This window comes from Homo sapiens, chromosome 14 (assembly GCF_000001405.40).
Source record: "Homo sapiens chromosome 14, GRCh38.p14 Primary Assembly".
In the NCBI taxonomy this organism is placed as follows: domain Eukaryota; kingdom Metazoa; phylum Chordata; class Mammalia; order Primates; family Hominidae; genus Homo; species Homo sapiens.
Genome location: NC_000014.9, coordinates 61,764,195 through 61,779,577, shown reverse-complemented (window position 1 = coordinate 61,779,577; position 15,383 = coordinate 61,764,195). Strand labels below are relative to the sequence as shown.

Here is a 15,383-nt window from a genome sequence, read left to right as displayed (position 1 = left end):
ACATTTAAAAAAATAAAACAAACATTCAGAGAACAAAAAAAATTACTGGTAATGAAAAAATATCAGGGGAAATTTTTTTAAATCAATATAATGGTTCAGAAGATAAAAGCCTAAGAAATCTCCCTGAAAACAGAAAATGAGACAGAGACTGGAAATAGAAGAGAAAAATAAGAAAAGCTGAAGAAGAGAAAAGATGCAGGAAAGAATATTTGTATCAAAGAAACAATACAGAAACTTCTTCAGAACTGAAGGATATCAGATTGAAAGGAGGTCACCATGAGTGCCAAGGGCAATAAACAAAAAAGATGTACACCAAGTTACATTATATGTATTAAATGAAATTTCAGAACTCCAGGGACAAAGCAAAACCTAAAACCTTCCAAAATCAGGAATACTAGAAGCTGGAAGACAATAAAGGAAATGGCATCAAAATTCCAGGTAAATATTAGAAGAAACTGCTAAAAGAGAAGAAGTGAAAGATGCTGTCTCTGAAGGTTAGGAATACAAGGGTGGGAAGTGGCAGAGAAGGGGACTGTTGTGCTATATAATCTCTCTAGCATTATTTGACTTTTAAAACTAAGTACATGTATTACTACTTTGATGAAAAATTGAAATATAATTTAAAAAGCAGTCAATTTCCAAATTACCTTATTAAAGAATAACTTACCTGTATGACAACTGAAAAGGCCTTTGATTTTATTTTCGCTAATGATTCTGCCCTTTCACATCTCTGGATGTAAAATAAGAAGGAAAAAAAAGTTAAAACACACAAACATTAGGTGAAAAACTGAATACCCAAGTATTTATTATCAGAAATAAGATTTCAGACACAATGTAGGGTAAAAGAAACTAACATACATTGGGTATACATTGAGTACACACACATAAACATACATCATATTCTCTCACAGATGTAGCAGGTGCCATAACACCATCCCCATAGTTAGAGATCATTTTCATTCAGGATTCAAGGAGGACAGTATGAATGAAAGCCTGGGTGATCAGGCAGAGCCCTGAACTGCCATTCCCTCCTCATCTGCCTATACTCAAAGATGGCTCCTTGTCTCATCCACTAAGATGGATGAAAACTCTGGAGGCAGGAAGCAGTATATAGTATAATAGCTTGGGCTCTACACTGGTTGAAAGGCTGACAAGTGAGAAAAGATATATTACAAAAGCCTGATCCTGATCCTCTACGAACTGAGGGCACTTTCCATAGTCAAGCTTTCCTTTCCCTGCGGAAAATTATTATCATCCTCTCTCCCAATCTACACCTGATGTGGCCTCCACAAGGCTTCCAGTAAAGAACAAACTACCTTTTCACAGAAGCATGATTCAGAATTTTCTCTTATATGTCTTATAATACTGACCATGGGTCACAATGCTCAGTATACAGAATCACAGCCACACATAATATGAATTGCAAAGTTTTCTGACCTCCGTTTCTTGTGAATTTCCTTCCATTTTTTCTTCTCCATCATTAGTTTTTGACTTTAAGGATGGATTCTAAAAGAGCAAAAAAGATACATACACACATACACACATACAAATTTACAATTCAATTAACTGCAAATCAATTTTAGAATGGTGAGAAATCATTTTTAATAAATGAAAAACTAAAAGATCATTCACATTATATACCACCTAACATTAAGATTACATCAGATTACATCAAAATGTTCTACAATTCATCAACAAAATGCTTAAATCCTCCTAACTCATGTGGTAGTCTTTATGTGGTAGTAAGAAAATGGGCTTATTCTCCTTTCCTTCAGGTTTTCAGAGCTTGGAGTAATGCTCTTTGAAGAGAGTTTATCTATTAAAAGAGCATACTAGCTATGCATGGTGGCTAATCCTGTAATCCTAATACTTTGGGAGGCTGAGGTGGGAGGATCGCTTGAGGCCAGGAGTTCCAAACCAGCCTGGGCAACATAGCAAGACCCCATCTCTAAAAAAAAAAAAAAAATTAAAACTAAACTGGTTCTATCCCTGGCAACATAGCAAGACCCTGTCTCTACAAAAAACAAAAAAAATTAGTTGGGCATGGTGGCACGTGTCTGCAAACCCAGTTACACTGAAGGCTGAGGTGGGTGGATCACTTAAGCCTGGGAGGTTGAGGCTGCAGTGAGCTGCAGTCATGCCACTGCATTCCAGCCAGGGTGACAGAGCAAGAAGACCCTGTCTATATACATATACATAAAGAATACTAACAAATTTTTACATTAAATGCCTAAGTCATTTGTGTAACCTATTTGTAGGACTTAAAGTATCCAAACATTCTAGAACTTGCTATCTCTCATTAAAATAAATGCAGAGGAATAAAGTTATTTTCTTCTTCCCGAGACTATCATCTTATCAGTTTCCTTGTTTATCTTTTCTAAAATTAAGTTTTGAGCCAGCTTCCTTTATATAACAGAAAGTGAAAAAGTAGCAAGAAATCTTTCTGAAGGACAATATATAGATAACAGTATCTGTGTGGCATTTGTGAAAACACCAACACATTATCAAGACACATAGTAAGTAATCAGAAATTGCTTACTTTAAAAAAATTTTTTTTCCTAGATTTACTAAAATAAGATGGAGTAATAGTTTCAAAAGTAAATTTCACAAGGCTAGCCTTTAGGTTTCCAGGGTAAAAAAAGTTTCTCTAGCTGGAAAAGGCTAATGTGAAATATGGGTAGCTCTAGCATCAATACTTTTGGTTAAATAAACTAAGTTGAAGATCTGTGTTGATGAGACTTGCAAAAAGATAAACCATACCAGGTAGACAATGTGTAAACAGAGAAACACCTGCCCTATCACAGTAGGAAAAGCCCCCACTCAGGTCCCACTGTCTGCTGTCATGCAGCAAAGTGGAATCAGTGTTACCAGACCTTCTGAATTTTAAGAGAAGTTGTATGTCTAGAATTTTAGGTGAAGTTCACAAATACTTAAATTTGGTAATTAACTCAAAAATTTTAAACAGTGTTAGAATCAACACTATGCCAAACAAAACACATCTGTGTGCAGGATTTAGCCCAAAGACTGAGTGTGCAACCCCTAAAAAATGCCAAATTATAAAGTCTGTAATAAATCTGAGGTATAACAAGATTATTTACTCTTCTACCAAAAAAAAAAGAAAATACATATATACTCCATTTATCAGGTTAAATAACATCACATACCTAATAAGTGGCAAAAGTGGAACTAGAAAAGCCAAGCCCTATAAATCTTAGCTCCACAGGATTACAGCCTCTAAAACTAGGCTGCCTCCCAACATTATCATCCACGGATAAACATTCGTGTAAAATACAATGGTGAGGCACCAAACAAGTGATTGCATACCTTTCTGTCTTTGTGCCACTGCTGATGCTCCAAAACTATGTTCTTAATATTGTCAAAAAAATCATCCTTTATCAAGCTGAGGGCTTTATCTGGCTTGGACTTATCAACTGAAATTACATGTTTCATGTTCTGATAATGATCATGAACATTCAGCATTTCCTAAAAGCAAAAAGATGAGTCCTTTATTTCTTCACTTTTTGAGGAGAAACTAAAAGGCAAAACCAACACAAAATAGTCACCTTCCAAAGTGACTTCCAGTTGATAGGTAATAACATGCTATAGTATATTAAAAATAACATAATCATGTAAGCAAAATAGTACAACTTCATTAACATAGAGGTGTGGATTCCAGAGGTATGGATTTACTGACTTACCTCAACAAACATTAACTAAGATATAAGATACACTTATGGGGAAGACATTGGGGAAAGACAAATCAGTTAACATAAAATTCCATTCTAGAATATCACAATTATTTGTAGCATGACATATCATTAAATATCACTACTGATAACTAAGATATTTTTATATCATATTGTCACATCAAGAATATTTACATAGTCCTTTATGCTCTGCTGGAAATTCCTATGTAACGACTCTCATCCAACCTGCCACAGAAATCCCAAAACGTATGTGCCTGTTCCCATAAGCTTCCCCATTGCTTCAGCGATAACATTCAGGATTAAAGATATAGAGGGTAGGCCAGGTGTGGTGGCTCACACCTATAATCCCAGCACTTTGGGAGGCCAAGGTGGGAGAATCACCAGATCAGGAGTTCAAGACCAGACTGGCCAACATGGTGAAACCCCGTCTCTACTAAAAATACAAAAATTAGCCGGGTATGGGGGTGGGCGCCTGTAATCCCAGCTACCTGGGAGGCTGAGGTAGGAGAATTGCTTGAACCCGGGAGGCGGAGGTTGCAGTGAGCCAAGATTGAACCACCACCGCACTCCAGCAGGGGTAACAGAGCAAGACTCCATCTCAAGAAAAAAAAAAAAGAAAGAAATAGAGGGTGATTTATGACACCATTTGTGGCATTATTTATTAGATCTTCTTCCTCCAAAAATCTCCAGCCAAATGGGCAGATCTGTGGGGTAAGGAAAAAGACAGCATACCACAGAGTGGACTTAAGAAAACCTGGCATAGGGACTTGGCTCTAAGATCAAGAGAGAACTACTGACACTTCCATCACAGATGGACATTGCAACATCTGAGTCATCCCTAACTCAGACCACTCAATTCATTTCCAGATTTTGGTAGAATCAACACCTGTTCAAGAAATGAGAAACTAGGCCAGGCACAGTGGCTGACTCCTGTAATCCCAGCACTCTTGGAGGCCAAGGTGGGCAGATCACCTGAGGTCTGGAGTTCGAGACCAGCCAGACCAACATGGAGAAACCCCGTCTCTACTAAAAATACAAAGTTAGCCGGGTGTGGTGGCACATGCTTGTAATCCCAGCTACTCGGGAGGCTGAGGCAGGAGAATCACTGGAACCTGGGAGGCAGAGGTTGCGGTAAGCCAGGATCGCACCATTGCACTCCAGCCTGCGCAACAAGAGTGAAACTCTGCCTCTCAAAAAAAAAAAAAAAAAAAAAAAAAAAAAATGAGAAACTGATCAATAGTGGTGAGTGAGTGCTCATATATGCAGGATCTGCAATGGGAGAACAGTGTCCAGACATGGAGAGCCCCTAACTCTTTACAGTTTACATTGGCTATACTCTCATTATTTTTACTTCATGTGATAGAGAAAGACCACCAGTCAGATCTAATTTTTGAGTCTGAGCTCTGTCATTTGCTCAATGGATGACAATGGGGAAGTCCCTCAACCTAAGAATCATGTTCATGTTTCGCATTTGTACAAAATGAACAAACCCACCATTGTTAAGTATTAAACAAGCTTATACAGGTGAAAGTATTCAGTAGAATGTAAAGCACTATAGAAGATTAAAGAAGCCAGGCACAGTAGTGTGCACCTGTAGTCCCAGCTACTCAGAAGCCTGAGGCATGAGGATGGCTTGAGCCCAGGAATTCAAGGCCAACTCAGGCAACACAGCAAGACCCCCACCTTTAAAAAAAAAAAAAAAAAAGAAGAAGAAAATTAAATAAGAAATAAAAGACAGTGCATGGACTTTGGAGCCTTATAGACTTGGACATTCAAACATAGTGTCTGTACCTTATTGTGCCTCACCTTATACAAACTACTTAACTTCTCTAAACCTCAGTTTCCTTATTTTTAAAACTGGGGGCCGTGCACGATGGCTCATGCCTGTAATCCCAGCACTTTGGAAGGCCGAGGTAGGCGGATCACCTGAGGTCAGGAGTTCGAGACCACCCTGGCCAACATGGTGAAACCCCATTTCTACTAAAAATACAAAAAATTAGCCAGGCATGGTGGCGGGTGCCTGTTGTCCGAGCTACTCGGGAGGCGGAGGAAGGAGAATCGCTTGAACCTGGGAGGTGGGGAGGTGGAGGCTGCAGTGAGCCGAGATCGTGCCACTGCATTCCAGCCTGGGCAATAAAAGGGAAACTCTGCCTTAAAAAATAAAAAAAAAAAAAAGGCCAGGCATGGTGGCCCGCGCCTGCAATCCCAGCACTTTGGGAGGCCGAGGCGGGCGGATCATGAGGTCAGGAGATCAAGACCATCCTGACTAACACGGTGAAACCTTGTCTCTACTAAAAAAATACAAAAAATTAGCTGGGCATGGTGGCAGGCGCCTGTGGTCCCATCTACTCAGCAGGCCGAGGCAGGAGAATGGCATGAACCCAGGAAGCAGAGCTTGCAGTGAGCCAAGATCGCACTCCAGCCTGGGCGACAGAGGGAGACTCCATCTCAAAAAAAAAAAAAAAAAAAAAAACTAAGGAAATACCACCTTCTCTGCAGGGTTACTATGATAATTAGTGAGATAACATACATAAAACATCTAGCATAGTTCCAGGTATATGGTGAGTACTCAGCACACGATGTCCATTATTATAACTGTATAAATGAAGAAACAGAAATGAAATAATTTGCTCAAGGTCCTACTTACATAGCAGCGGGCTAGAATTAGAAGTCAAATGTTTTGATTCAGTATCCTGTTCTCTTTTCATTTTATTATGCCTCTTAACCACAAAACTAGAACAAGTGGCAGAATCATGACCAGAATTCAGATCTTCTGAAATGAAGACTTAATAGCAGTTGCAGGCAGTAGAAGGAAAATTTAAAAGTATTAAATTTAAGAATTATCAGTGAGAATGGATTACAGGCTATGCTAGGACAAAAGATATAGAGCCAGCAGAAGTATCAAGGGACAAGGCTCTCAAAGCAATTATGTCACAAGCCAGAGATCCGACAGAGCCAGGATAACTTCACAGACTATTCCATTCCTAAAAGCTTCCAGGTATAGGCATTTCATAGCTTGACCCTTCTGATACTCTTCTCTATTCACTCTAAAAGAGTAGACCTTTGTTCATCAACCCCAACTTAAAAGAGCTTAGAATGAAAAAGCATGTTGAAAAAGATATGTTGAAAAAATATTTACATTCTACCACCAAATTGGTCAACAGTCAGAAAAATTAAAACCGGACAACCATGGTGGCTCATGCCTATAATCCCAGCACTGTGGGAGGCCAAGGTAGGAAGATCACCCAAGCTCAGGAGTTCAAGACCTGCCTGGGCAACATAGCAAGACCTTGTCTCTACAAGAAATGTTTTAAAATTAGCCAGCATGGGCCAGGCGTAGTGATTCACGCCTATAATCCCAGCACTTTGGGAGGCCAAGGTGGGTGGATCACAAGGTCAGGAGTTCAAGACCAGCCTGGCCAAGATGCCGAAACCCTGCCTCTGCTAAAAATACAAAGATTAGCCCAGCGTGGTGGCACGTGCCTGTAATCCCAGGTATTCAGGAGGCTAAGGCAGGAGAATCGCTTGAACCCGGGTGGCAGTTGCAGTGAGCCAAGATCATACCACTGCACTCCAGCCTGGGACACAGAGCAAGACACCGTCTCGGAAAAAAAAATTAGCCAGCATGGTGGTGAGGGCCTAGCTACTCAGGAGGCTGAGGTGGGAGGATCACTTAAGCCCAGGAGACTGAGGGTGCAGTGAGCTACGATCACCCTACTGCGCTCCAGCCACGGTGATGAAGCAAGATCCTGTCTCAAAAATTAAAAAAAAAGAAATTGTAACCAACTGGGTTCAGATCATCTTTTTTCATTAGAATATTGATAAGAATAATGTCTTGCTGTTTGAAAATGTCCTATGCCTCTCTCTTCATGATTCACATCAGCATTTCTCAACTTTCTGGTATCCCGAAATCTTTCTTCCATTCTCCACAACCGCTATTCCAAACATTTTCAACTCTCAGTTCCCTGATCCCCATGATGCTCTCTTAAAGTTCAGGCAATCAGGTCTGTTTGCCTTCTATTTCTCCTCTACACAAAGATTTATAAAAATCCATTCTCACCTTCTTTCCTCAAGTTTCAAAGGAAAAAGTATGCCTTCTGCTCAAGGCTACTCCCTCCATGGACTCTCAATCGCAGACACACCCACCTCCTCCATAGCAGGAACCTTGCTCGCTACCTCTCCTATATACAACCATTCCCTCTAACTAGCTCCTTACCTCAACTCCAAACATAAACATTATGTCTCTCCAATCTCTAAAACTTTACGACTCCCCTCTGCCAAAAAGACAAAATACAAATTCCTTCTATTACACAAAGTACTTTTATCTTATTTAGTTTTCTACATAAACTCTCTCCTACCTCTTTCTCACTAAGCTGCTAGAGGGAAAAAAAAATCCTAGTTCTTGTTACACTTCATTTGTTTGTTGAATGACAAATTTCTAACCCCAGTCCCACCTCAGACCAGTCCTTTGCTGTCCAACAAACAGGCACCACAGCCATACAAAACTGAGTATGAAGCTTAGCTCCATTACTTCCTAACCTAGTCTCTGTAACTCAGTTTCCTCAACTTTAAATCACGGATAAAAACCCCTATTTTTAAAAATAATAATTAAAAATGTTTAAAAACACTTATTTTGCAGAAATGTTGTAGAAGTAAAACAATCTACACAAAATATTTTCCCAGAGTTCCTGCATTATACTATGTCTTCAGATATTGAGGAATATTCAGTTCCTTGTAATACAGTAATTCTTAACCTTTTTGGGGGACATGAACACCTTTGAGAATCTGAGGATAATTACAGTACCTCACCCTAAAAATGTATCCATATGAGCTGGGTGGGGTGGCTCATGTCTGTAATTGCAGTACTTTGGGAGGCTGAGGCGGGCGGATCGCCTGAGCTCAGGAGTTTGAGACCACCCTGGGCAACATGGTGAAACCCCATCTCTACTAAAATACAAAAAATTAGCCGAGTGTGGTGGTGCGTACCTGTAGTCCCAGCTACTCGAGAGGCTGAGGCATGAGTATCACTTGAGCCCTGGAGGCAGAGGTTGCAGGTTGCAGTGAGCCAAAATTGCGCCACTGCACTCCAACTTGGGCTACAGAGTGAGAGAATCTATCTCAAAAAAAAAGGATCCATATGTATGACATCAATTTTTCATACAATGTGGTGGGGGAGAGGGACATGGACCATCTCCAGGCCAGAGATTAAGGATCCTTGCTCAAAAATAAAGTTACTTTACAGAACAGACCCAGAGTGCTCCCAAAAATCAATTTGCTACCTGAATTACAAACAACCTGACAGGCTGATGTTATTGCAACGTGGGGGCGACCGGGCACAGTGGCTCACACCTGTAAACTCACCACTTTAGGAGGCCAATGCAGGCAGATCGCTTGAGGCCAGGAGTTCAAGACCAACCTGGTCAACACAGTGAAACCTCACCTCTATTAAAAATAGAAAAAATTAGTTGGGCATGGTGGTGCACAACTGTAATCCCAGCTACTCAGTGGGTTGAGACACAAGAATCACTTGAAACTAGGAGGCAGAGGTTGCTGCAAGCCAAGATCGTGCCACTACATTCCAGCCTGGGTGACAGAGGAAGATCCTGTGTCAGGGACAAGAAAAAAAAAAAAAAAAAGAACATGGGGGCATCTAAACAAACATTTGAGTAAATCTAAGATCTGATCCCTGTCTTTCAATTGTAATACAAGAAAAGACTGAGTAGGGCTGGAGAAAAAGGGAATTAACATTTATTAAGGGTATATACTGTGTGTAATATACCACACTCAGCACTATTTAGGCATCACCTCATTTCAATTTGCAGAACAACCGAATGAAATAAAATATTATAATCCTAATAGTAATGAGGGAGACATTTAGGCTTAAAGAAAATTTAAAAGCACGACCAAAGTGTCCCCTTACCCTCTCGTCTCCTCTCTATATGTTCTTTTGAAATATCATTGATTTGGAATACTGTAACCCTGTACTGAGATTTTGTTTCAACCTCAAAGCAATGCTTTTCTACTCATGCTTAAAAAGATTTGTAACACTACTTATCCATGCATAAGATTTTTCCCAATACTGTACACTCAAACAAAATACGAAAATATATTATCAAAATAGACTCACTGTTTTCAATGGTAGGTTTTAAAATAAATGTTAAAACTCAGGAAGTAGGCTGGGTGCAGTGGCTCACGCCTGTAATCCCAGCACTTTGGGAGACAGAGGTGGGCAGATCACCAGGTCAGGAGATCGAGACCATCCTGGCTAACACGGCAAAACCCTGTTTCTACCAAAAATACAAAAAATCAGCCGGGCATGGTGGCACACGCCTGTGGTCCCAGCTACTCGGGAGGCTGAGGCAGGAGAATTGCTTGAACCTGGGAGGCGGAGGTTACAATGAGCTGAGATTGCACCACTGCACTCCAGCCTGGGTGACAGAGCAAGACTCCGTGTGAGAAAAAAAAAAAAAAAAAAAACCTCAGGAAATAAATGCACATTGGTTTTTTTGTTTTTCAAAACGGAATCTTGCTCTGTTGCCCAGGCTGGAGTGCAGCGGTGCGATCTCAGCTCACTGCAACCTCTACCTCTGGGGTTTGTGATTCTCCAGCCTCAGCCTCCCCAGTAGCTGGGACCACAGACGTGCGCCACCATGCCCAGCTAACTTTTGTATTTTTAGTAGAGACGGGATTTCACCATATTGGCCAGGCTAGTCTCAAACTCCTGACTTCGTGATCCACCCACCTCGGCCTCCCAAAGTGCTGAGATTACAGGTGTGAGCCACCATGCCTGGTCATGTATATTGTTTTTTTAAAAAAGTAAGTAAAGTCACTTTAAACTCTTGTTTTATGACCTAACTAAAGTCAAATACAAACAATAGTTTTAGTAACAGAATCCACACATCTTCAGTCCAGGTCCAGTCTTCTACATCTTTTTTTCTCACGCTATTTCAAGATTTGTAAGCCTTGATATATTTAGGCTATTTTATGTCTGATACTCTAGAGAAATAGCATCCTAGAGTGGTTAAAATCATTAGAAAAATCAGTATCCAGTAGATGAAGGTATAACCTCAATATGTAGTTGGCAATAAAACAATTTTTAAAAATTTTCAAGAGCATAAAAGAAAATTTACCTCTAATACATCAGAAGTGATAAGTTTCATCACACGATCACTTGGGTCCTTAAATTCTTCTGTAACTTCAGCTCGGTGAATTTTTTTCTTCATCCTATATGACAGCTATGTGATAATACGTGTCTTTTTAAATGAGTATCTTTTAAACAGTATTGTTAAAAGTATTGAAATATAAGCCAGCACTAAAAATTGTCTATAAGTAAACACAGATAAAACAAAACCAGCTGTAAGGGTACATCTGTTAAATATCCACGTTCCAAAGACTGTTAGACTTGTGAAGTATCCTCTCACATGCCATGCCACATGCCTACAAATTCAGATAAGACAGAAATTACATAATTTGCCAGCTAATGGCAGAACCAGAACTAGTGCTCTTCAACCTAGTGTCTCAATTACCACTAGATTAAAAAAAAACAAATGCTATTAGAAGTTTCAACTTTTCACCAAAGAATTTTTAACAATTTTGTACGTCTTTCAGTAACCTCCTCTGATGTTTGAGACATGAGCAAATGCAGATGCCAAATCTAATTTGTTCTCAAAACAGTTCGCTTAATATGTGGCACCCAGATACACTGCATTTAAAAAGCAAAGGCTAAATTTTTGCTTGCAGAAAAAAAAGTAGTAATTAGAAAATACCTTCTCCTATTTTAAAAAAGCTACAAGGCCGGGCATGGTGGCTCACCTGAGGTGAGCAGCACTTTGGGAGGCTGAGGCGGGTGGATCACCTGAGGTCAGGAGTTCAAGACCAGCCTGACCAATATGGTGAAACCCCATCTCTACTAAAAATACAAAAATTAGCTAGGCGTGGTGGAGGGCGCCTGTAGTCCCAGCTACTCAGGAGACTGAGACAGGAGAATTGCCTGAACCCTGGAGGCGGAGGTTGCAGTGAGCTGAGATAGCACCACTGTACTCCAGCCTGGGCGACAGGGCAAGACTCTGTATCAAAAAGGCACACACACACAAAAAAAGTTACAAGCCAGGCCGGGCGCAGTGGCTCACGCCTGTAATCCCAACACTTTGGTAGGCCAAGGTGAGTGGATCACGAGGTCAAGAGATCAAGACCATCCTGGACAACATGGTGAAACCTTGTCTCTACTAAAAATACAAAAATTAGCTTGGTGTGGTGGCGCATGCCTGTAGTCCCAGCTACTCAGAAGGCTGAGGCAGGAAAATCCCTCGAACCCGGGAGGCGGAGGTTGCAGTCAGCCGAGATGGTGCCACTGCACTCCAGCCTGGGCGACAGAGCAAGACTCTGTCTAAAAAAAAAAAAAGCTAAAAGTCTTGAACACTATCAATACTTATTCCATTTTCTGGAGATTGAGAGGTTTTATGGACAATAAAGTATAATTGCTCATTTTGAAAAAACCAAATTATTTTAGGCAACATACCAATTTGGGCATTGCTGTAAAGTGAAATGCTCTGTCTAGTCGTAGCTTCCTAAAAATATAAGCTGCATCAAAATGCTGTGCATTTACTAAATCTTGCTGAAATTTTAAAACTTCATCCCAATCCTTCAGGGCAACTCTGATCTGCAACCAGGAAGAAAAAAAAGTTGTACTAAATGTAAATATTTTTTCACAAACATATTATAATTTTAAAATACTGGCATTTTATTTAAATCATATTTAATCATATAATATTTATTATAAAAATATGGTACTTGTTTTACATTTCTGCTAAGGAAAAATAACTCACTAAGTATTACCTTTTGTTTTGGTTGACACAGTTGGGTATTATATAATCCATATAGCAGATACAAAGCACCAACTCTGATCTGGAAGGTGTATGGAGGTAAAAAATATCGCCAAGCCAAAGCTAAAGCTTCTTTTGTAAACATGTTCTTTTCTAAATTTCTCATTCTGCCACTAATAAACAGAGAGAAAATATATTACGACTCATTAAGTGAATAAGTAATGAACAAAAGCCAAAAGTATATACTTGTTTAAACGGTAGTTATAATTTGATGAGGATTCCATACCTGATTCTTTCATGATTCAAGCACAAAGAGATAATTTTACACCAAGGCAAAGGCAACTACTAGGTAAACATGACGCAGCTTCCAAAAGCATCAACTTTACTTGCCAAATTGAAGAGCAAGAAGGAAGGGGTTTCAAATTACTATTGGTTAAATATTTAAAACCCATAATGTTAAAATAATCATGGTTATGTTACAGAACTATGTGCATTTTAATATACAATTGCCAAAAATGCTTGTTCTTTGGTGCTATAAAGAAGTATCACTTGAACGTAAATTTTATTTCTTCAGCAAGGCCATTTTTTTACTTTCTGCACAAAAGGGTACAGTCGCCAGCAGTTTTGCTACACTGAACAAAGGAGACAGGGTCATTTATAACTTGACACATCTACTTTACTGCTGTGTCCGGTTTCTATTGGCTGGAACGGGACTTCACATTCTGTATCTGTCTTCATTGACTAGCAACTTAGAACTTGAAGTAACTTGTGGAATGCTGAGAAAGGTAAAAACACTTTTAAATAAGGAAGAAGAACAGGCTATGACTTAATGCTTGCTTGGACCAGTATAAGCACGCCAGGGCAAATATTTAGGCTAAATTGTGGGAGCTAAGAACATAAAATACACTGATTTCTTTATTACAGCTAGCAGATATTTAAGAATGTTAGCATAGGTCTTTGAATAAATTTTGCTTCTAAGATAAGTTACTATTTAGTCTTAATTAGATGGGGAGGAAACTCTTTGAAGCAGAACCTCTACTTTACTTTTTACCTAACGAACATTTTCTCCAATACTCTCAGGGATTTGCACTAAATCTCCTCTGTCCTTGCGAAGCCGAGGCGAAAAAGATAGAGAAACAGCACAAAGTAACCCGCACTCCTAATTGTCCAGAGCACTGCAAGCTCATCAGAAGAAAGGAGGAGGAAGGGAGAAGAGCATACTCCAGCATACAACCAAAAGCTTTGTCCAAACATCCAAGAGAGCAACAAGGCTTTGTTGGCAATCAATCAATGAAATAACATAGGAAATGTACATGAAAGGAAAGTATCTTGGGCACCCAAGATCACTAAGGAAAACTCAAGCTGGAAACTGCTTAGGGCAAACCTCTCCCATTCTATTCAAAGTGACTTCTCGGCTCACTGAGATAGATGCATATCTGATTTGCCTCCTTTGGAAAAGCTAATCAGAAACTCAAAAGAACGCAAGCATTTGTGTATCACCAATCTGTGACCTGAAAGCTCCCTCCCCACTTCCAGTCTTCCTGCCTTTGCTTCAAGTTGTCCCGCCTTTCCAGAACGAACCAACGTACTTCTTGCATATATTGATTGATGTCTCATGTCTCCCTAAATGTACAAAACCAAGCTGTGCCCTGACCACCTTGGGCGCATGTCAACACGACTTCCTGAGGCTGTGTCACGGGTGCGTCCTCAACCTTGGCAAAATAACCTTTCTAAATTAACTGAGACGTGTCTCAAATTTTCGAGGTTCACATATATTTTCTGTGGATATAAACAGCATAATGAATAAACTATCTGAAACTGTTCTGCTGTGCTAAGTTAACAAAAAATTTTAAAAAACAAGGCCTTAAAAAAGTCAATGTAACAGTCTTCTTACCACTTTGGATAAAACAATGAAGCCACATTTGTGCATATTATAGGTTTCTATGTAAGACCTGAAATTAGTAGATAAAAAATGCCAGATTTTAAATAAAACATTAGCTAAAATAAATGTCTCAAAGTGTTGATGCGAGTGACTAATACGCTATACAAATATAAATATGTAGAACTTTTACTTTAAAACCAGCAACAAACAATAAAGACATTTGCCCTGCAGCCATAAACACGGGCTCTATTATATCTGATTACAATGCAGGGGTGGAAGGGAAGGGGGTAGTAGGAGGACATTTTGGGTCTTCAAATAATAAATATAGGAAAAGAATACAAAATGCCTACTCTAGTTACGGTAACCAAAGTAATTTCTCAAGAAAATCCACCACTCTAGTGATTCCTGCTTCTTTTATCATTTTAGGTTCTCCCTACTAGAAAATGTAAATGTTACATTTTTAGCTTTTTCCTTAAATGCATTTTTCCCCCCAAGAAGTGGTACAGTGGAATATTAACGGATTTTAGAAACAGGCAGATACATAGTTTCCAACATCTGCTCTACAATCCACTATCTTTGTAATGGTGGAGAAATTACTTAACCTCTTTAAGCCTTAATTTCCTCATCTATAAAACAAGGATAATTATACCTGCTTTTTATAACTGTCTTATGCAATAAATAAAGCTATAAATAAATGGCATGTAGTAGCCATTTAAAAAAAAAAGTCTCTCTCCTTTTATTAACTGTACAACAAACAGCTCTTCATCCTCCATTCCTTGCAATTTAAAAAACTACAAAGGTAATTTGCTTACACTGACAGAGAGAAAATGAGTTTTTACATTTTGTTCAGAAAAAGTTTTAATCATAAGGTTTAACTCATTCAGAAAATCAGTTATTTCGCCTTTTTAATATTATATGTACTATGGTAATAAAAATAGATTCATCCAGTCACTGTCCTCACAGAGGTCAGTC

General features: G+C 39.3%; 1 protein-coding gene across 1 annotated transcript in view; it reads right to left on the bottom strand.

Annotated features, from left to right (window-relative positions):
• SNAPC1 (small nuclear RNA activating complex polypeptide 1) overlaps positions 1-15,383 on the bottom strand; it is a 34,009-nt gene that overhangs the window by 16,851 nt on the left and 1,775 nt on the right. Inside the window, exons 2-7 of the mRNA NM_003082.4 lie at positions 12,543-12,702; positions 12,226-12,366; positions 10,838-10,942; positions 3,325-3,483; positions 1,438-1,506; positions 668-730 (exon numbers count right to left, since the gene is read on the bottom strand). Of these exons, the coding sequence (NP_003073.1) occupies positions 668-730; positions 1,438-1,506; positions 3,325-3,483; positions 10,838-10,942; positions 12,226-12,366; positions 12,543-12,702 (697 nt within the window). The remainder of the gene's footprint in view (positions 1-667; positions 731-1,437; positions 1,507-3,324; positions 3,484-10,837; positions 10,943-12,225; positions 12,367-12,542; positions 12,703-15,383) is intronic.